The 23055-nt window shown below is 43.9% G+C and overlaps 1 long non-coding RNA gene across 1 annotated transcript, besides 3 other annotated features; it reads right to left on the reverse strand.

The window, feature by feature from the left end:
* Nucleotides 7192–7281: a silencer, noted in NCBI's record as "silent region_2048". NCBI's record gives its function as "represses an Ori minimal core promoter by ATAC-STARR-seq in GM12878 lymphoblastoid cells {active_cell/tissue: GM12878}" and the evidence as "EXISTENCE:reporter gene assay evidence [ECO:0000049][PMID:35858748]".
* Nucleotides 12405–21135, reverse strand: LOC124904577 (uncharacterized). The gene is made up of 2 exons (XR_007067008.1): nt 20666–21135; nt 12405–13371 (listed from the first exon to the last, which is right to left on the reverse strand). It is a non-coding gene; the product is annotated as an uncharacterized LOC124904577 (long non-coding RNA).
* Nucleotides 16262–17461: an enhancer, noted in NCBI's record as "CDK7 strongly-dependent group 2 enhancer chr1:249096844-249098043 (GRCh37/hg19 assembly coordinates)". NCBI's record gives its function as "activates an origin of replication core promoter dependent on BRD2, BRD4, P300/CBP, MED14 and CDK7 cofactors, with strong dependence on CDK7, by STARR-seq in HCT116 cells {active_cell/tissue: HCT116}" and the evidence as "EXISTENCE:reporter gene assay evidence [ECO:0000049][PMID:35650434]".
* Nucleotides 18870–19079: an enhancer, noted in NCBI's record as "active region_2874". NCBI's record gives its function as "activates an Ori minimal core promoter by ATAC-STARR-seq in GM12878 lymphoblastoid cells {active_cell/tissue: GM12878}" and the evidence as "EXISTENCE:reporter gene assay evidence [ECO:0000049][PMID:35858748]".
* Nucleotides 21136–23055: the final 1920 nt, after the last annotated feature.

Here is a 23055-nt window from a genome sequence, read left to right on the forward strand (position 1 = left end):
TGGCTTCTAAAGCTTCCCCTAAAAAGTGGCAAATGTCACTTCTTGCCAGAGCTAGTGTCAAAGTCATTTTGCGACACACAGAGGGTGGGGAAGTGCAATCCAACATACATTCAGGAGGGGAAAGAAATAAACATTTAGTGATTAGCTCTGATGACTACTCTGATGGATTCAAACTCAGTGCCCACGTACTAACTGTGCAACAAGTGCATATTGCTCGGCCTTTGCAAATCTGTTTCCTCATCAGTAATAGTAACAAAAATCATAGTAGCTGCTGCTTATTGGTCCCTTATTGTGTGTACTAAACATTTGACATTTCACTGGGTTGACAGAAAACTTACAGGGTAAATGAGGAACATAATATATTTTAACAGCAATGTCATGAAAACTAAACAAGATAATGTATGCAAACAGTAGCTGGTGCTTGAATAATTACAACTGAGTTCAGCTCTGTGAAAGGTACGGTAAGAGGTGGGGAAGAATAGGCCAGGAGGCTCAAGAGAAGACGTCAAAGACGTAGACATAACCTTCAAGAAGGATATGGGCATTTGGGAAGATAAGACATGAGTGCAGAAAACTGTAAGATATTCTTCTTGCTGTGGCAACTCTGAGGAAGAATACAAACAGGTTGTGAGGAAGCAGAAAAGGAAGAAAGGGGACACCAAGCTAGGGTGAAGAATAAGCTGAGGTATAAAGACAGATTGAGATTCCAGGGTCTAGGGGGAGGGACCCCTATGTCACATGTGGCGAGGGCATGGAGAAGAGTTTCTGAGAGTTCTCAGTTATGTTATGCTATCTTGAGTTATCCTCCCAATGGATCTGGGTTTTCCCACATACTTGTAATCAGCTCCCGCTGGCATCAACATTAACACTTGTCTAATCCAATCCCCTCTTTTTCAGATAAGAAGTCTGAGGCTCAGCAAACATATAAAATTTGGCTGAAGCTGAATGACAATTGATCTGGGTTTCCTAGTTCTCTCTAATGCCTGTTGCTCTCACCCCCACCAACTGCCATCCCTGGCCACTGTCCCATCTCCCCAGTTCTGAGATGAATATCCAGGAGTGTGCTCTTGTATCCATGCAGGGTCTGGGAGAAGATATTAATATATCCAGAGAAACACTGACCCTCCCTGGGGAACATTATACCCTCCTGCCTCATTGATGTCAGACATGGTCAAATGACTTGCTCCCATCAGTGCAACGTGAGCGGCAGTGATGTGTGTCCCTTTGTAGCAGAAGCTTTCAGGAATAGTCTGTGGTTTGCGGTGCTCCCTTTTCACTCCACATGACAACTAGTGATTCTTCATGCAGAGTCTTCTCCACCAGCTGGGTCCCAGGTTAAGATGACACAGAGTAGAAATGCAGCTTACTCAGATAACATAAACAAGAAATAAATATTTAATGTTTTAGCTTCTGGCACCTTGGGGTCACTTGCGATAGCACCATTACCTAGCCTATCCTGACTCACATATGTGACACAGCTATTTTCTCTCACTTGCTATCGACACTGCTGGCTAAAGACCATGAAGGTTCTATGCCACAGCATGTACCTTACACAAAAGTAAAAGGTATGTTTCTACTCTCTAAATCCTCAAGACGTGGGACACAGACCAGGAGTGGAAACAGTTGAAACACAAATGTGGAATACAACTGAGCAGGTGCATTCATCAACATGGGGCACATTCAAATGTCCTAATCTTCTGGGCTGTTCATGGATAATTTTCTTCAGAAGGGTCTTTTGAGAAAGGTTAGAATGGTGAAGGGTGGCACATCCAATTTTCTCCTTCTAAAGAAAATGGCAGGAAGGAAGAGAAGCCTGGGCAGGGGCAAAGCTGTTCCTTAATCACTGTCATCCCAGGCAAGAAGTTTTATTGCTACCCACCCTTAATAACATATGGATAGACGCAGGTCAAAGAGATGAAGAGATGTGAGGGTGTTAGTCATCCAGCCCCCAGCCTGGGATCACCCACCGCTTTCACAGCCCCTAGCAGCCACCCACCCAGGATAACAGGGCCTCATGGAGTGTCTGAGGGTTCTTGCCCATGTTCACCAGGGACAGATGGTGTTTGCATGTCTTTCAAGGACAGACCTGTATCATGCAAAGGTGAAGGAGGAAATAAAGACTCTGCAAACATACTCAATCCCCATTTATGACACCCATTTATATAGCTAGCAGCTGACCAATTCATCAAAATTCTGCCCTTCCTGAACACATAAAATGGGTGCAAAATAACAGGTCAAAGCTCAAGCGGCCAGGAAGGAACCTGGATGGGAGAGAATCAGGCTGAGCATAGAGTGGTGCCCATGGTAGAGCCCATCCTAGAGAAAGGCACCAGCTGCGCAGCTCCCCGTCAGACTTCAGGTTCCTCATGGACCCATCAATATCTGCTATGCTCCTTGTAAGAACTTGTGCATAAGGGAAGTATGAACGCTTACAGTTTTCTTATGCAGATTCTAAAGCCAAAGTGCCTGAGCTCTAAGCACCTAGAACAGTATGTGGCATGACTTGTTCTGAATAAGTGTCAGCTGCTGCTGCTACGATGCTCCCACCCATCACTTCCATAGAGCTTGTAGCCAGAAGCACTGACATGTTAGGGATAGTCCAAACCTGAGACTTGAAAAATGAGTGAAATTCAGATGGGGTTAAGGGCCCCTGGTCTATGGAACTCCCTCTTCCAGGAGCCCGGAGGGAAAAGGAAGAGGCAGATGTTGTGCGTGGAGAAGCCACCAGACCAAGCATGAGGATCTCAAACCTGAGTCCCAGCTTTTCTTTGGTTTAGCTCAAGAGGTAGGAATTGAACAGCCCCAACTTGGAGGACCAGGGATGAGGTGTCATCCTGTGGCCCACATTTGCTTAGCCAGAAATGAGAAAGGGTCAAAAATTACAACACATTAGTCTGAAGATCTCAATTGGCTATTAATTGCAATTATAATTTTATTTCATTTTATTGAGACAGGGTCTCACTCTGTTGCCCAGGCTGGAGTGCAGTGGTGCAATTATGGCTCACTGCAGCCTTGAACTCCTTGGGCTCAAGCAATTCTCCCACCTCAGTCTCCTGAGTAGCTGGGACTATAGGTGTACACCACCACACCTGGCTAATTTTGTTGTTGTTGTTGTACAGACAGGTTCTTGCTATGTTGCTCAGCTGGTTTCAAAGTCCTGGCCTCAAGCAATCCTCCCGCCTCACCCTCCCAAAGTCCTAGAATTATAGTCATCAGCTGCTCCCTGCAACCTATTTGCGATTCTAAAATGGGCAACACCTCATTCTATAAGATAGAATGAATGTTCCCATGACCTGAGCAGGGGAGGTTGGCTTTGTTGATGAAAAGAGTTAAACTCTGTAAAATATTTGAAAAGATTTATTCTGAGCCAAATATAAGAAATAAAACCCATGACACAGCCCCAGGGAGTCCTGAGAACATTTGCCCAAGGTGATTGGGCTACAACTTGGTTTTAGGAAGACGTAAGACACCAACTGATACATGTAAGATGTACATTGGTTTAGTCCAGAAAGGTGGAAAACTCAAAGTGGGGCGGGAGGTGGGGTTGGGGGAGAAGAGTGGGGGAAGGAGTAGTTTACAGGTCATAGATGGATTCAAAGATTTTCTGATTGGCAATTGGTTGAAAGAGTTAAGTTGTTTAAAGACCTGGAACCAACAGGAAGGAGTGTCTGGGTCAAGACAAGGGGTTATGGTCTGGGCGTATGGCTCACTCCTATAATCCCAGCACTTTGAGAGGCTGGGGTGGGCGGGTCACAAGGTCAGGGGTTCAAGACCAGCTTGGCCAACATGGAGAAACCCCATCTCTACTAAAGATACAAAAAATTAGCCGGGCATGGTGGTGCATGCCTGTAATCCCAGCTACTCGGGAGGCTGAGGCAGGAGAATCACTTGAACCCGGGAGGCGGAGGCTTCAGTGAGCCAAGATCACGCCACTGCACTCCAGCCTGGGCAACAGGGCAAGACACCATCTCAAAAAAAAAAAAAAAAGACGAGGGGTTATGAAGACCAAGATTTTTATCATACAGATCAAATCTCCAGGTAGGAGATTCTCAACAGAATGTAGATTTTCCCTACAAAAAAATAGCTGTACCAGGCCTTTTTAAAATATGTCAAAGATACATATTTTGGGGTAAAATAATTTGATTTCTTTCAGGGCCTGCTGTTATGTTGGTATGTTATTGCTATAAAGAGCTACTATGTCAGTCTTCAGGTCTCTGTTTTAATGTTAATGCTGGTCAGTTGTGCCTGAATTCCAAAGAGAGTACGTTATAATGAGGCATGTCCAACCTCCGCTTCCCATGATGGCCTGAACTAGTTTTTCAGGTTAACTTCAGGACGTCCTTATCCAAGAGGAGGGGTCTGTTCAGTTGGTTGGGGGCTTAGAATTTTATTTTTGGCTTACAGCTTTATAAACGGAAAAGGGCTCCGGGAAGCAGAAGAGAGAGCTAAAAGAGAATTGGTCATTTCAAAGTTAGTTTCCTTGTAAAAGTTAAAGCAAAGGGTACTTTCTCATCATGTCAGCTAAAATTGGCTTGTTTGAGGATCTATTACCTCTCTCTCTTGATTTCCTGGCAAGTCAGATAAACAGCTTAGTTTGAGCTTGGTATTGTGGACCTTCAGCATGAGTGACTTCACTTTGGTTTGGTCTATTGGGCTCAGTGGCAGGGGCTCAGTCTAAACCAATGGCCTCCTATAAATTTTATTCGATGGGAGTTAAATAAAGGGAATGTGTGTTAAATAAAGAGAACATGTGGAATGGCTCCAGTATCTCTGTCAACCCCAAGGCCTAGATGGCAGCAGAGCCTCACACTGGACAAGGCGAGAGATCAATAAAGGGTATTCAGACTGGACGGGCCTCTTCTGGTTAAAGAATGGCCCAGGGGCAAAGGTTTGTGTTGGGTCCTGAAACCTGAAAGAGAGGTTTAGACAGCCTTTTCTGAGCAATCTGCACACCCTCTTATCTTAGAATAGTTCATTTATTGGTGCCATGTGTTTAGCAGAACACAAACGGCTCCAAGACATATCCTTGGTATAGCTGATTTACAGAGGAGTTATTGGGAATTAACTGTCTGGAGCCATAGCTGTCGATATCAGCCCTCAGTATGACTTAACATCATCATCTGTGGATCTTTACACATATATCCGTGTCCAGTTTATCCTCAGAGATTCTGATCTAAGCTGCCAGGAGAGGGGCCTTAGCAACTTTATTATTTAAGTTGGGCCTGGAATGGTGAACGCATCGGTAAAATGGCAGATGTATAAGAAGTGCTCAGAAACGTGCCGAGCATTGTGTGGTCCAGCAGGGATCCCTGCAGGTGACTCTGCTCTTTCAGGGCAGCCATCATCCTTGCAACCTCCCAGGAAATGGCTCCTCAGGGGAACCAAGATCCATGCCCTGCACCCCGCCCAACTCAGCAAGATGGAAACTCTACTCTAGAGTGTTACAGCCAAGAACACACGGCTTCCTCTCCGCAGTGCTCCCAGTCAGGGGACAACTCAGCAAGATGGAAACTCTACTCTAGACTGTTACAGGCAAGAACACACGGCTTCCTCTCCGCAGTGCTCCCAGTCAGGGGACAACTCAGCAAGATGGAAACTCTACTCTAGACTGTTACAGCCAAGAACACACGGCTTCCTCTCCCCAGTGCTCCCAGTCAGGGGACAACTCAGCAAGATGGAAACTCTACTCTAGACTGTTACAGGCAAGAACACACGGCTTCCTCTCTGCAGTGCTCCCAGTCAGGGGACAACTCAGCAAGATGGAAACTCTACTCTAGACTATTATAGCCAAGAACACACAGCTTCCTCTCCCCAAAGCTCCCAGTCAGGGGACAAACTTCTGTCAACCTACATTGACAGAGAGGGAGACTCTCTAACGAAAATGATGTTTATTTAGGAATAGAATTGCAATGGGAATATATGTGCCATAGAAAACTATGTGTGTATTCAGGGAGGTAACAGAAGACAGTGGTTTTTAAAGGAAAAATAAGGAGGATTACATAATTGTTTTGAGATAACTGTCCTTGGCTATAAGAATCAAATAATAAAGGTGGTGCCAGTCTGAGGTTGGACAAGCAGTTGCTGGGCAGATGTCCTCGCAGAATTATATTTTTGTGTAAGGCTGTGATGGTCTTTGTGCAAGGCTGTGGTTTTTGCAGAGCTTTTTGTGATAGTTCCTGTTATCAGGCATTCGTGCGTGAGAACCCTCTGTTCACGGCCTTTTCTGGCTCTTTTTGTCGGAGCTTTGTTAACAAGGGACTTGTTTTGATTCTGATAACTTTCACACTTTCTGGAGCAGAAAGTTAGCATGTCTCATCCTACCCCCAGTTTCTTCCTACTGAAGATAATAAATTCCAGGTGAGTATGGCTGACAAGTGAAGACTCCCTTCTTCCTTGCCTCTCCTAGTCATGGGATACAGGCTCGACCTTGAGAATACTGCACATACTGCAAATACTGAGGCCCCAATCACCACTGCCCTAGTTCACTGGCAGCAGTCCCATGCCAATAAAGGCCAACCTGAGAAATTCTAGGGCTGCTGCACACCATTCTACCAAGTGCTCAGCTCCTAAAGTAGAGGCGTCACTCAGGAGAAGCATGCCATTTTCTCCAGAGCCATGGCTCAGAGATTTTACCCAGGGGCAGAAGCAGGCATAGAACAGAGAGCTCCAGCTTTCTACTCAAAGGAACAGACCTCACTTATAACTGAGTCTGAAGTTCAAGTCTAAGAGTCCTCTAAATATAGGGGGAATAAAACAGTGGCGGTTGCGGTGAAAGGCGATTGGGAAGCAATTAGTAGATTCATTGACGATTGCTATGGACTGAATGCTTGTGTTCCCCCAAAATTCATATGTTGAAATTATAACCCCCAATGTGATGATATTAGGAGATGGGGCCTTCGGAAGGTCATTAGATCATGAGGGTGGAGCCCTCATGAATGGAATTAGTGACCTTATAAAAGGGACCCCAGAGAGCTCTCTCACCTTCTTTCCACCATGTGAAGATACAATGAGAAGTCAACAGTCTGCAACCTGAAGAGGGCCTTCACCAGAACCTGACCATGCTGGCATCCTGATCTTGGACTTTCAGTGTCCAGAACCGTGAGAAATAAATTTCTTTTGTCTATAAGCCACCTAGTTTATAATATTTTGTAATAGCACACCAAGCTGACTAAGACAGAAATATAGGCTAAACTGTAGGCCGGCTGGTTTGCCAGAGAGAAACAAGACACCAGACAACTACAAAGAGCCCTCCTGGAGTCAGAACATGTTTCAGTGACTTTGGTAACTGTCCCTACAAAGGAGCCTGAATTTGATTAGCTAAGCCTATAGGGCAATGGATGCCCAGAGCATTGTTGAAAACAGCTGAGCAATCAGCCTGCAATTAGAGAGCTTAACAGCTGAGTAAGTTCAGGAATAGATAGTCAAAAAGAAATCTGCCAAAACCACCATCATCCCACAATGACTGTGGGCATACCAAAGGTTGTGTCCTGTGAGGAGCAACATTAGAGGCTTAGAGGCTTCCCACTGCAGGGGGTGGGGAAGAATGAGTGTGGTAGTGGGAGAATAGGCTTCAGGAAAATAATCCAGCTAATCACTACACAAATAAGCAGGCAAATAACAATAACAAGCCCACCTGAGGTGGCGGGCACACCCGGAGTTGCTTCAGTACGTGATCTAAAATGTCCAGTTTCCAACAAACGTTATGAGACATGCAAAGAAACAGAAAATATGGCCCATAAACTAAAGAAAAATCAGGAAACAGAAACTGCCTCTATGAATGATATATTAGTCAGGATTGTCCAGGAAAACAGAATCAACAGGATGTTTAGAGACAGAGAGAGAGAGAGAGAGAGAGAGAGAGAGGTTCATTTTAAAGGATTTCTTCATGCAGTTGTGGGGGCTTGGCAAGTTCAAATGTGCAGAGTAGGCTGGCAGGGCTGAAAATCCAGGGAAGACTTGTAATTTGAGTCCAAAGGCAGTCTTCTGGCAAAAGTCTTCCTTCTTCCAAGGAGGTTAGTCTTTTTCTATAAAGGCTTTCCACTGATTTGAGGAGGCCCACCCATATCATAATGGGTAATCTGCTGTACTCAGTCTACAGATTTAAATATTAGTCTCATCCAATATATAACTTCACAGAAATTTCTAGAATAATATTTGACAAAATATTTGGATACCGTGTGGCCTAAGTTGACACATAAAATTCACCTTCACAAGTTACCAGATGTCAGATTTAACAAAGTTTCATGGCTCACACCTGTAATCCCAACACTTTGGGGGGCCAAGGAGAGTGGATCACCTGAGGTCAGGAGTTCGAGAACAGTCTGGCCAACATGAAGAAACCCCGTCTCTATTAAAAATACAAAATTTAGCCAGGCGTGGTGGCCCATGCCTGTAATCCCAGCTACTCAGGAGACTGAAGCAGGAGAATTGCTTGAACCCAGGAGGCAGAGGTTGTGGTAAGCCGAGATCACACCATTGTACTCCAGCTTGGGAAAAGATTGCGAAACTCCATCTCAAAAAAAAAAAAAAAAGTCTTCAAAGTAGTTCAAAGAACTAAAGGAAACTTGATTAAACAACTAAAGGAAGGTATGATGATAATATCACATCAGATAGAGAATATCAATAGATAGAAATTATTTTTTAAATGTAAATTCTGGAGTTGAAAAGTACAATAGCTGAAATAAAAAATTTAGCAGAGTTCAACATTGGACTTGAATTTGCAGAAGAAAGAACAAACTTGAAGATTGACTGATAGAGATTTTACAATCTTAATAACTGGCAGAATAAAGGATATAAAAATGAACAGAGCAACAGGGGGGAAGTCCCAAAAGAAAAAAAGAGAGAGAGAAGGAAGAGAAAGAAGCAGCAAAAAATATTCAAAGAAATAATGACTAAAAACTTCCTAAATTTATTGAAAAACATTACATATACAGGAAACTCTCTCAACAAACTGTCTCTTACTTGGGTTTCCAAACTGCTGGTCTACCCTACACATTTTGGACTTTGGAATATTATTACAAATTTTTTTAAAAATCAATAGTTTGGAGCTCTTTGCAGAATGTTTATGATGGGTAGCCTGCAAAAACTTCACCCTAAGATTTCCTCTAACTTTAATTGGTAGATGTTAGAAAACGTTACTTAAATACTATTAGAAGTTTTCTGCATCAGCAAACCTGAGACTTCTTTGTTCTGTGACAGCTGCTACAATGGTTGCTTCAGGGAAAATGAGTAAAGAAACTCTCATTGAGTGGTCCCCTTCTCCTATTAGGGTGGCACTGTGTGAGTTGGTGAGAGGGCCTTTCTCACTGCCTTTTCCCAGAATTTCTCTGTAAGCTAATGACCAGGTATCTAAGCAGGAGTTTCCCTTGTAAAGCAATGGGCATAGAAGGTCACTACATGTGACTGGCTTTAAGGGCAGAGAGCTTGCTGGGGAAGGTGGAGGAGAAAACAGAATGTGACAAGGGGTCTTCTGTGGGGGCATATGTTAAGTTCTACATCCTATACCCCAGGAGTAGCCAATGTATCAGAAGCTGCATGTCAAAGTCTGGAGTTTCACTGATGAGTGACTCTGCTTTACTGATACCAGGGTGTCATTGCGTCTAAACCCTCTCAGCTTACTGATCAAGGAGATATATGAGTGTGCATTAACACTTATGTATACACATATTTATAAATATTTGTATATGTAACTCTCTATCCATATTAAGCTAAACATTAATTCATACCACTGTCTCCAATTTTAATCCATTAACATGTGAGTCCTTCTAGCCCCCTCCCCTTGTTTATCTGTAACCTGGCTTTCACTATCTGCCATCCATTTACTTAATTGTTGAATTCTAGCATACATGTATAGCAGTATCAGAATTGTTACCTCCATGGGAAACAACTTTATTTACTGGAGTTCAGTGCTTATGAACAGTTTCTTTTGCCTTTTGTCTTACAGATTCTACTAATTTCCAAATTTGCTTAGGGGTCAGGTGCAGTGACTCACACCTGTAATCCCAGCACTTTGAGAGGCCAAGGCGGGAGGATTGCTTGAGCCCAGGAATTTGAGACCAGCTTCAGCCACTTGGTGAAAACCCATCTCTACAAAAAAATACAAGAAAAATTAACCAGACATGGTGGCACATGCCTGTAATCCCAGCCACTCAAAAGGCTGAAGTGGGAGAATTTGTTGAGCCTGGCCGGGCACGCTGGCTCACGCCTGTAATCTCAGCACTTTGGGAAGCCAAGGCAGGCGAATCACGAGGTCAAGAGATCGAGACCAACCTGGCCAACATGGTGAAACCCCGTCTCTACTAAAAATACAAAAAGTAGCTGGGCGTGGTGGTGTGTGCCTATAATCCCAGATACTTGGGAGGCTGAGGCAGGAGAATTGCTCGAACCCGGGAGGTGGAGGTTGCAGTGAGCCAAGATTGCGCCACTGCACTCCAGCCTGGTGACAAAGCAAGATTTCATATCAAAAAAAAAGATAAAAAAATTGTTGAGCCCAGGACGTTGAGGCTGCAGTAAGCTGAGATTGCACCACTGCACTCCAACCTGAGCAACAGAATGAGACCCTGTCTCAAAAAAACAAAACAAAAAATAGCTTAGGTAGGTCAGCATCTTACTCCTCCAGCCCCTTGAGTGAGGTTGCCTCATTAAACGTTTAGATTACTTTGTCACAGTGTTCATTTCTTCTTGTGATTCTCCCCACCTCATAAATGATTTTTTAAATTTCACATACATTAAGGTAATTCTTTGTGCTCTAAAACTCTATAGAATTTGACAAATACTTAACGTTTTGTATTCACCATTATATTATCACACAGAAGTTTCACTGCCCTATAAATTTTCCTGTGCCTCACCTATTTAACCTTCACTTCCTTCCCCAGAACCTCTGGCATCTACTAATGTGTTTAAGGTCTTTTAAGTTTTATCTTTCCCAGAATGTCATATAATTGGAAGCATATATTATACAGTTTTTTTTCTGGCTGGCTTCTTTCACTTCATAATATGCATTTAAGATTCTTTTATTTTCATAATTTGATATCTCATTTCTTTTTATTGATAAGAAGCTATTCCATTGTATGGATGCAACACAGTTTGGTTATCCGTTCACCTATTAAAAGACATCTTCCTTGCTCCCAGTTGTGGGTGATTATGAATCAATCTGTTACAAATATTTGCATGCAGGTTTTTGAGTGGACATACATTTTCAAATCAGTTGGGTAAGAATTTAGGAACGTGATTGCTGGATTACATGGTAAGATTATGTTTAGTTTTGCAAGAAAGTGTCAAATTATCTCCCAAAGTGGTTGTACCATTTTACATTCCCACTACCTGTGAATGTGAGTTTATTTCGCTCTGCAAACTTTCCAGCAGTCAGTATTATCAGTTATTTGCATTTTGAATATTCTAATAAGTGTGTAGCGGCATCTCACTGCCGTTTTAATTTCCAATCCCCTACTGACATATCATGTTGAGCACCGTTTCATATTTTTATTTTCCATCTGTATATCTTTTTTTAAGGTGTCTGTTCAAATCTTTTGCCCACTTTTGAACTGGGTTGTTTTCTTGTTGAGCTGTAAGAACTCTCTGTACATTTTAAATACAAGTTCTTTGTATATTTTGATATTATCAGATGTCTATTGTTCAAATTTTTCTCACAATTTGTGGTTTATCTTTCCTTCCTTTGAACCATGTCTTTAGCAGATCAGAGGTTTTCAATTTTAGCAAGTCCAACTTGTTAATTTTTTATTCCATGGATAGTGCCATTGAAAAACACATCATCAAACCCAAAGTCATGCAGATTTTCTCCTATTTTTTTTCAAGTAGCTTTATAGTTTGGCATTTTATGTGTATGTCTATTTTCAGCTAACTTTTGTATAAAGTGTAATGTCTCTGTCTAGGTTCATTTTTTTGCATACAGTTGTTCAATTTATCCAGCACTTTTTACTGAAGGCGGCTATCTTCTCTCCATTAAATTGTCTTTGCCCTGTCATCAAAGTTCAGTTGACTATATTTATGTGGATCTATTTCTCTTCTCTATATTCTGTTTCACTGATCTGTGTGACTATCTTCAATTGATAATATGCTGTCTTGATTACTATAGCTGTATAATAAGATTTGAAATTGGGTAGTGTCGTTCCTCCAAATTTGTTCTTCTTCTTTAATATTGTGTTGGCTACTCTAGATCTTCTGCCTTCTCATATAAAGTTTAGAATTAGTTTGTTGCTATCTACAATAACCTTCTGGGATTTTGATTGGGACTGCATTGAAAAAAGCCAGGGAAAATCTGTATTCCATTTTAAAAATTATTTTTAATTATGGTAAAATACACATTACACCAAATTTACCATCTTAGCTATTCTTAAGTGTTCAGTAAGTGGTGTTAAGTATATTCTCATTTAGCACGCAACCAAACCACAGAACGTTTTTATTTTGCGAAATTGAAATTTTATACCCACTAAACAAGACTTTCCCATTTCACCTTTTTCCCCTGGTAACTATCATTCTACTTTCTGCCTCTATGAATTTGTCTTCTAGGTATCTCATGTAAGTTGAATCATACAATATTTGTCTTTTGTGACTGGCACATTTCACTTAGCATAACTTCCTCAAGTTAGTCATTGACTTCTTATGTTAGTCTTGTATCCCATGACCTTGCAATGCTAACTTACTTCCATAAATTGGTTTGTTTTGTTTGTCAATTCTTTGAGATGTTCTACATAGAAAATTGTATCTTCTGCAAATAGAGTTTAATTTTTTCCTTTCTAACCTGTAACTTTTTTCTCGTTCTTGTGTTATTGCACTACCTAAGATTTCCAATACAGTGTTGAATAGGAGTGGTAATAGAGGACAACCCTGCTTTGTTTCCAAGCTCAGAAGAGCATGCCATTTTCATCATTCTGTGTGATGTTAGTTAGCTGTATGTTTTCTGTAGCAATTCTATGTTAAAGAAGTTTTACTAATTCATAATTTGCTGAGAATTTTTATCATAAATGGGTGTTTGATTTTGTCAAACTTTTTTTCTGAATCAATATAATCATATGGCTTTTCTTCTTTAGTCTGCTGATGTGCTAAATTATATTGCTCAGTTTAGAAACCTGAATCAGTCAGCCGGGCGCGGTGGCTCACGCCTGTAATCCCAGCACTTTGGGAGGCTGAGGCGGGCAGATCACCTGAGGTCAGGAGTTCAAGACCAGCCTCAACATGGAGAAACCCCATCTCTACTAAAAATACAGAATTAGCCGGGCTTGGTGGTGCATGCCTGTAATCCCAGCTACTCGGGAGGCTGAGGCAGGAGAATTGCTTGAACCTGGGAGGCAGAGGTTGCGGTGAGACGAGATCGTGCCATTGCACTCCAGCCTGGGCAACAAGAGCGAGACTCTGTCTCAAGAAAAGAAAGAAAGAAAGTTAAATCAGTCTTACATACCTGAAATAAATTCCACTTGGTCATGGTATAAAATGTTTTTACACACTGTTTGCTTTGATTTGCTAATATTTTGTTGATAATTTTTACATTTATGCTCATGAAAAATACTGGTCCATTGTTTTCCTTTCTTTGGTGTCTTTATCTGATTTTGACTAGGATAATGCGGGCCTCATAGAATGTGCTAGGAAGTGTTCCACTGCTTCTATGTTATGGAAGAAATTGTGGAAAACTAGTATCAGTTATTCCTTCAATGTTTGATATAATTTACCAGTGAAACCACCTGGACCTGATGTTTTCTTTTTTGGAAGGTTAATAATTAATGATTTAATTTATTTAATATATAGAACTGTTCAGCTGATCTATTTCTTCTCTGTGAATTTCGGCAATTTGTATTTTTCAAGGAATCAGTCCTTTCATCAAAATCATCCAATTTGTGAGCATGGATTTATTCATATTATCTTTTTATTATCATTCTAATGTCCAAGGGATGATTAACATTCTTTCATTTATAAAATTGATAATTTGTCTCCTCTCTGTTTTTCTTGGTTAGCCTGAATCATTAATTTTACCAGTCTTTTCAAAGAATCAGCTTTCGATTTTATTAATTTTTCTCTATTGTTTCTTGTCTTCAAATTCATTCATTTCTGCTCTAATTTTTATTATCCCTTTTCTTCTGCTTCCTTCAGGCTTAATTTGTTTGTCTTTCTCTAGTGTGCTAAGGTGGAACGCTGGGTTATTGATTTTAGCTCATTTTCTTTTCTAATGTAGACATGTTACTAAAACTTTCCCACTATGCACTCTTGCTGCACCCCACACATTTTGACAAGTGGCATTTTCATTTTCATTTGTCCTAAATATATAAAAACTTTTCTTTACACTTCTTGATTCCTTATTTAGAACAGTTTTTGTTTCATTTCCGAATATACTGTAATTTTCCAGCTTTCAGTTATTGATTTCTGGTTTAATCCCACTACGGTCAGAAAACATACTTTGTATGATTTCTATTAATTTTGTCAAGATACTATTTTTATTATGGTAAAAAAAAAGTGGATAACACAAAATTTACCATCTTAAGCATTTTTAAGCTTACCATTCTGGGTTTTTTTTGTTTTTTGGGTTGGTTTGTTTTTGTTTTTGAGACAGGGTCTTGCTCTGTTATCCAAGCTGTAGTGAAGTGGCATGATCTCGGCTCACTGCAACCTCCACCTCCCAAGTTCAAGCGATTCTCCTGTCTCAGCCTCCTGAGTAGCTGGGATTACAGGCATGCGCCACCATGCCTGGCTAATTTTTATATCTTTAGTAGAGACGGGGTTTCACCATGTTGGTCAGGCTGGTCTCGAACTCCTGACCTCGTGATCCGCCCGCCTCAGCCTCCCAAAGTGCTGGGATTACAGGCGTGAACCACCGCACCCAGTTACCATTCAGTTTTGCTAACAATATTTACATTGCTATGCAACCAATCTACAAAAGAAGTTTTTATCTTGTAGAACTGGAAATTTTTACCCATTAAACAACACCCCATTTTCCTCTCCCCAGATTCTCTAGTTACCACTGTTCTACTTTCTGCTTTTGTAAGTTTGACTATTCTAGATACCTTATGTAAGTGTAATCATACAGTATTTGTTCTTTTGCGACTGGCTTGTTTCACTTAGCAAAATGTCCTCAAGGATAGTCTATGTTGTAGCATATGTCAGAATTTCCTTCCTTTTTAACGTTAAATAATATTCAATTGTATATAACGTATTTTGTTTGTCCATTTATCTGTCAATTGACATTTGGGTTGCTTTTACCTCTTAACTATTGTGAATAATACTGCTTCAATATGGGTGTGCAAATATTTCAAGAGTCTGTTCTCACATTGCTATAAAGAAATACCTGAGACTGGGTCATTTATAAAGAAAAGAGTTTTAATTGGCTCGTAGTTCTGCAGGCTATACAGGAAGCATAGTGGTTTCTGCTTCTGCGGAGGCCTCAGGAAGCATCCAATCATGGCAGAAGGCAATGGGGGAGCAAGGCCAGGTGACTTGCTTTGGCCAGTGAAAGGTGAGTGAAGGGACAAGTCTTGGGACCCCTGTGCACTGTTTGCCACATCCCTTCCACCTGCCGGAAAGATGAGGTTCTCAAACTCCAGGGTACACTAGAATCACTCTAGGGGTTTGTTGAAAGCTGCTGGGGTCCACTCCCAGCATTTCTAATGCAGTATTGCTGTGGGCAGAGGAGTGGAGGTAGGGGGCTGAGAATTTGCATGTCTAACAAGTTTCTGGTGATGTTTATATTGTTGATCTAGAGAACACATTTTAGGAACTAGAGTCATAGAAGGATCCTCCCTGGGCCAGGGTCTCTGAGTGATACCTTCCTATTGAACCATGTTTAAGATGAAGGTTGGGTGGGGAATAAACATTTTTCTGTTCCCATTTCACTGTGGGATTTTGATGTTTATAGGTGAAAGAACATATCCCACACAGAAGCATAAATCTCTCACAACCAGCAGGACCTCGAGAAAGAAACACCATTTTGATTAGAGGGGCTTTAGTTTTCCCTGGGCTCCAGGTACACAAATCCACACGGAATTAATGGTGCAGAGCTGTAGAGAGGCTCTCAGCCATGTCCTAAGGCACATTCTCCTCAGTCCTCTCCCACCTGGTACATAGGATACCTACTTCCAGGGGGAAATCCAAGATTTCCTGGGAAGACAACTCCTTTCCCCTGTGCCTTCCACGGGTCCTGCCTATAGCTTGAGTTCACTCACAGAATCTGGTTTCCTATTGTTGGATATCAAACACTGTTGGAGCCAACAGAGGGTGGGACCTGTCTGAAACAAGACTCATCAGTGATCTTCCTGATCAGAGCCATAAACCTCTGGCCGGCAGTCAGCTGAAGGATTCAGGCAGCACTGGGAACAGCCACTTCACCTAGGAACTTGGAGATAGGTCAAGATAAGGAGGGCTGTAAATCTAACTCGGGCTCAGCTAGAGTCCTGGCACGTATGAGTATCATTTGTGCTACCAGCCCGGTCACCTACGAGGCATTCCTCTTCTTGTCTCTGATGTCCCGGTCACCTACGAGGCTTTCCTCTTCTCATCTCTGATGTCCCGGTCACCTACGAGGCTTTCCTCTTCTCATCTCTGATGTCCCGGTCACCTACGATGCTTTCCTCTTCTTGTCTCTGATGTCCCGGTCACCTACGAGGCTCTCCTCTTCTCATCTCTGATGTCCCGGTCACCTACGAGGCCTTCCTCTTCTTGTCTCTGATGTCCCGGTCACCTACGAGGCTCTCCTCTTCTCATCTCTGATGTCCCGGTCACCTACGAGGCCTTCCTCTTCTTGTCTCTGATGTCCCGGTCACCTACGAGGCTCTCCTCTTCTCATCTCTGATGTCCCGGTCACCTACGAGGCTTTCCTCTTCTCATCTCTGATGTCCCGGTCACCTACGAGGCTTTCCTCTTCTCATCTCTGATGTCCCGGTCACCTACGAGGCTTTCCTCTTCTTATCTCTGATGTCCCGGTCACCTACGATGCTTTCCTCTTCTTGTCTCTGATGTCCCAGTCACCTACGAGGCTTTCCTCTTCTCATCTCTGATGTCCCGGTCACCTACGAGGCCTTCCTCTTCTTATCTCTGATGTCCCGGTCACCTACGAGGCTTTCCTCTTCTTGTCTCTGATGTCCCGGTCACCTACGAGGCTTTCCTCTTCTCATCTCTGATGTCCCAGTCACCTACGAGGCCTTCCTCTTCTCGTCTCTGATGTCCCGGTCACCTACGAGGCTTTCCTCTTCTCATCTCTGATGTCCTGGTCACCTACGAGGCTTTCCTCTTCTCGTCTCTGATGTCCTGGTCACCTACGAGGCCTTCCTCTTCTCGTCTCTGATGTCCCGGTCACCTACGAGGCTTTCCTCTTCTTGTCTCTGATGTCCTGGTCACCTACGAGGCCTTCCTCTTCTTGTCTCTGATGTCCCGGTCACCTACAAGGCCTTCCTCTTCTTATCTCTGATGTCCCAGTCACCTACGAGGTTTTCCTCTTCTCATCTCTGATGTCCCAGTCACCTATGAGGCTTTCCTCTTCTCGTCTCTGATGTCCCTCCCTCCAGCGTGTATTTTCACGTCTCTCCTCGTCTCTGCTGCTTCACTTTTGTCACTTTCTCCAAGTCTTTTGGGTTTGTCTAGCTGCAGATGTTTTCTCTCATCCTCATCATTTATGCTTCCAGATCAGTTTTCCTGTCATTCTTATTCAGCTTTTATCTCTGTCACATTCTCTCTGAAAGTGTCGTTAAATATATATACATATGTATGTATATACATTTTTTTTTTTGAGACGGAGTCTCACTCTGTCACCCAGGCTGGAGTGCAGTGGCGCGATCTCAGCTCACTGCAAGCTCCGCCTCCCAGGTTCACGCCATTCTCCTCCCTCAGCCTCCTGAGTAGCTGGGGCTACAGGTGGACGCCACCAAGCCCGGCTAATTTCTTGTATTTTAGTGGAGAAGGGGTTTCGCCATGTTGCCCAGGCTGGTTGCCAACTCCTGAGCTCAGGTAATCCGCCCGCCTCAGCCTCCCAAAGTGCTGGGATTACAGGCGTGAGCCACCGTGCCCGGCCCTAAATATATTTTTAACCAACCCAGAAAAAATTAAAAAGTATATCCCAGGTGGCAGGTGAACTAAATACCTGGTTCACTTTATTTAACCTCGGGTTTGTTTTTGTTAGTGTTATGAAGACGTAGCTCCCCTCCTCCTAAGGCCTCATGCCCTTTTCTGTTAACAGTCCCTTCCAATGGGGCAGCCATGGTCACTATTGCCAGATGCAACTGTTTGAGGGAATGGAGAGGATTGTAATCTGAGGCTTCTGAAATTGTAAAGTGAAAGAGGAGATCTGGTAAAAGGGGCGAAGATCAGCTGAAGGAAGGTCAGATGTGAGTACAGCAGCAACGGTTACATTCCCACCCTGGGCTGCAGAGGCAGGTGGGCTGCAGAGGCAGGTGGGCTCCTGGCCTCTCTCTCCAAGTGGAGTGGGAGGCTGAAACCATAGCAACACTGAGGTTAGCACACAAGGCAGGTGACATTAAGCAACATCCTCTCCTTCTTCCCTAAACCACAGCAGCCCCTGCGAACCTGTACAGCTCCATGAGCCTCCTCCAGCCTTCACTGCTGCCCCAGGCCCCCAGGCCCTTAAGAATTCCTGCTGGAAAAAAGCAGGCCGTGGCACAACTGAGATTTCCTTGTGTCAGTGTGAAGATGATCCAGCTCTTCTGCATGTTATTGCAGAAATCATAGAGACGAAACAGGATGGGGTGGCCTGGAAGGAGCATGGAAGATGAAGCCGCAGCTGAGGAAGAAGGCAGCTCTGCTGCTCCACTCTACCCTAGACCAAGAAGGTTCCTCTTTTCTAAATGGGGAAGAAACTCATTTTGACACTCCCTTCCTCCTATGTTTGAATAAATCAAGAAGCGTATCTGCACTGTGCAGTGAAAGCCACCTGCCTGCCTGGAGAAAGAGAAACTACTGCCCAGCACTCTGAGCTCTTCGACCTCTGGACGATGATCATCTCACACCCAAGCAGAAATATCCAGCAGCCCTCTGCTCCCTCCGGGCTGGGTCCTAACCAACTCTGGACTTGCTCAGGTTTCTCATGCTCCAACCCCTAACCCTGTCTGCAAACACATGCACCATTTCACATCATCCATCAGAACTCTTCGCATGGCCCAGCCTCCACTGCCAGCTGTATAATTTTAGTGCTTTAGATAACCTTAGAGGTTATCTACTGAGTCTGTCCACACTTCCGGCAGATTGGAACACTGAGGCCCAGAGGAGCTGAGTGAATTGTCCCTGTGCACATAACCCCTTGTGGCAGGGGCAGGCCAAGGGCAACCCTCTCTGAATAGTGTGGTCAGTGTTTTTAACACCGAAGCTCTCAAAAGAACTAATGTTTACTGAGCACCTAGAATGAGGGTGACCATATGTCCTAGATCACCCAAGTCAGTCCCAGGCCACACCTGCCCCCTTTCACACTCAGCTGTCCCAATTTAGACTATGCATCACGTATGGTCCCTGTACATATGTCTATTGTGTTATGTGTTGAGTGAGATGGAGTCAAGGATGATACTGACCCCTTCTTCTGAGGACTTAGGACCAACAAGAGACATGTCTACAACAACCGGCCCATTCTTCAGTAAGTCAAAAGAGCCATGGGGAACTTGAGAGTGATAAGGATTAATTCAGACTGGGCTAGAGAGGTGCCTGTGGTTGAATCCCAGCTCATGTGGACTTTTGACCACATGATCTGGTCCTCAAACCACAGGCAGCAGTTTGACAGTTTGAGAAGGGAGGAAACTTGTGCCAAGGGTAGCACAAGCAGAAGTAAGTCAGTAGACAGCTGTTTGGTGAAAATTTCCACATTCCAGGTCCTGAGAACACCAAGATGGGTGAGACACAGGCCCTGGGAGCTCAAGACAGATTTGGGAAGAGTGAGGATTGGGAGCCAGGCACCACTTCTCCAGTCTGAGACCAAGGGGCTGGTTCAGAGCTTCGGAGAGCAATGCCCAGCTGTAACCTCCCAGATTTTTCCTTGACTGCAGCCCTCATTAGTTATTTATTTACTTATTTTTAGAAATAGGTTGTCCCTCTGTCACCCATTCTGAAATAGTGGTGTGATCATAGCTCACTGCAGCCTCAAACTCCTGGGCTCAGGAGATCCTCCCACTAGCCTCAGGAGTAGCTAGGACTACAGGTGCATGCCATCACGCATTGCTAATTTTTTTACTTTTTGTAGAGTCGGGTTCTCACTATGATGCTGAGGCTGGCCTCAAACTTGGTCCTCAAGTGAGCCTCCCACCTTGGCCTTCCAAAGCATTGGGATTACAGCTGTGAGCCATTGCTCCTGGCCTGGTTATGTATTTTTCACTGCCCTGCACCACCTGTGCACACCTGCATTCCTTACCTGGAAGACCCACCCATGGCATTACAGTTTATAGTGTTCCTAACAAGGCCTACCACAGTGTTTGTACACTGAAAGATCCTGGTGAACATTTCTTAGTAAACTACACATATCCATTTGCCAGCCAGTGTATGGTCTCCTGGTTCCCTTATCCCAGGGCATGAGCAATGTGTTGCAGCCTGGGGCTCAGGAATGGTGAGCAGGCGTGGGTGGAGAAATTTATAAAGAGGCTGTGGAAAGGGAGAGGGAAAAGACACTAGGGAGGCCAAGGAAGGAGGTGAGCTCTGAGGAGAACAGGGTACATCTACATATCGAACATCTTACCTCCTGAGACCAGCTGCGCTGCAGACTTGAGCCAGCTCTCACACGCAATAGGTGATTCCGAGGACACACGGGAATGCAAGAGGCCCATGACAAGTACAAATAGGGTTCCATTCTGATGTATACACACCCCCACCCTTCTATGTGCAGTTTTTCAGGCCCTTCTGCAAAGTGCCCATGAGGCTGACCACGCAGGCTTGGAGGGTCAACACGCAGTGCGCGCAGGGAAATGCAGAGCCCAGGCTCTGCGCACTTTCTGGTAGCTGCTGCCCCCTGCTGACACAGCAAGACCTTGACAGCCCAAGAAGGTCATCTCCGCTCTTCCTGCCAGGCAGAGTAGGAGCATCTACAGATGGGTTGATTCCACACCCCACAAATACGTACAATTACAATATGTCAATTTTAAAAGATGTCTAAAGGCTGGAAGCATAACCAGGCATGGTGGCTCATGCCTGTAATCCCAGCAATTTGGGAGGCCGAGGTAGGGGGATCGTTTGAGCCCAGGAGTTTAAGACCACCCTGGGCAACACAGGGAAACCCCGCCTCCAAAATAATCCAAAAATTAGCTGGGCATGGTGGGACACACCTGTAGTCCCAGCTACTTGGTAGGCTGAGGTGGGAGGATCTCTTGAGCCGAGAAGGTCGAGGTTGCAGTGAGCCAAGATCACATCACTGCACTCCAGCCTGGGCTAGAACGAGTGTCACAAAAACAAACAAAAAAAAAGGCAAAGAGCAGTGGTTCAAGCCTGTAATCCCAGCACTTTAGGTCAAGGAGGGAGGACTGCTTAAGTCCAAGAGTTCAAAACCATTTTGGGCAACACTGCAATACATCTCTACAGAGAAAAAAAAAATTAAGTTAAAAATTAGCGGGGTATGGTGGTGTGCATCTGTGGTCGTAGCTACTAGGGAAGCTGAGACAGAAAGATTGCTCGAGCCCAGGAGTCCCACGCCGCAGTGAGTTATGATTGCACCACTGCACTCCAGTCTGAGCAACAGCGCAAAACCCTGTCTCATAATAAAATAAATATTAAAAATTAAATTTTTAAAAAGGCAGTGGGGTTGTCATGCTTGTCAAAAATCATATCCAGATGAGGAGGGAAACACAACCCTTTCATAGAGTCCACTTGCCTAGCGCAAGATGGGATGAAGCCTCCGTGAGTTAAGCACTCCGAGGCTGTGAAGAGGTGCTAACAGGAATCGCTGCACCTCAGATCCACTGATGTAGCAGCATGCCACACATGCCTCTATGCTCCCATTTTATAGGCGATAAAATTGAAGCGTCATGAAATTTGAGAATTCCCATAGAGATGTGATCCTGGGATTGTGCATCACCAGGTCCTGACCTCCAAACTGCTGTACTGATAAACCCACCTGATACAGCTGTGGGCTAAGAGAAGGGGCAAGAAGCAAAAGCACATTTCCTGAGCATCTGTTGGTGAGAGCCTGTGTCAGGTGTTGGGTAGACTGAGGCCCCAGCCCCACACTTGAGGAAGATGAAGATCAGAACAATTCATTACCAACAGGCCAATGTAACATGTAACATGACACAGTACAGGAATGGGGGATGGGGCCCTATGTCCCCCACACCTTGACCATCTCTTCCTCACCTTAAACAAAATTTCTCGACCCTCTTTGCTGGGAGAAGGAGCTAAGAAACAGTATTCCCACTTCTCATCTCTTCTTCCCAGCAAAACTTCCTCGGAGATGACTACCTCCACTTCCTCACCTCCTGTTCCTGTGAGCCCAGTGGTTCAAGCGTTTGGACTCTAGAGTCCAAGTGCCTAGTGGGAGCCGCCTCCGTTACCTTCAGCAAGGCTGAGTACCCCCCATTGTGCCTTATTTTCTTACCGTGGAAAGGAAATCATAGTGTTTATCTGTCCTATAACATTGTTGTAGAGATTAATTAGGGGCGTTCCTGGTACGTGAAATGCACTGGATGAGTACAAGTTACTACAACGAGGGTGGGAGGGAGGGAGCTCTTCGGCTTCTGTCTTCTTCTCCTTAGAAGTACCATTGGCTCTAACCTTCCTGGTCTCTCTTCCCGCCTGCCGCATCTTCTAGGTGATTTTGCAAGGAGAAACGCACGTGCATGGCATAGCCCTTCTTTTCTAGGGCTCTTCTGTACCAGGAGCCTCACAGGTCCTGCCTGCCAGTGACTGGGTAGGGAAGTCCAGCACTGTGTGTCATCTCAGAAAGCCCTTCATTAGGACTATAATACTGTATTATAGACTGAAAATTTGCTGAGAGTAGATTTTAGGCGGTTTCACAACAAAAAAGGGGGGAGGTAACTGCAAAATGATAGGCCAATTTGATACCTATTTCATTATGTGCATCAAAATACCATGTTGTTCACCTCCTATACATACAATTTAAAAAATTTAAAAAGCCCACTC

This window comes from Homo sapiens, chromosome 1 (assembly GCF_000001405.40).
Source record: "Homo sapiens chromosome 1, GRCh38.p14 Primary Assembly".
NCBI classification, from domain to species: domain Eukaryota; kingdom Metazoa; phylum Chordata; class Mammalia; order Primates; family Hominidae; genus Homo; species Homo sapiens.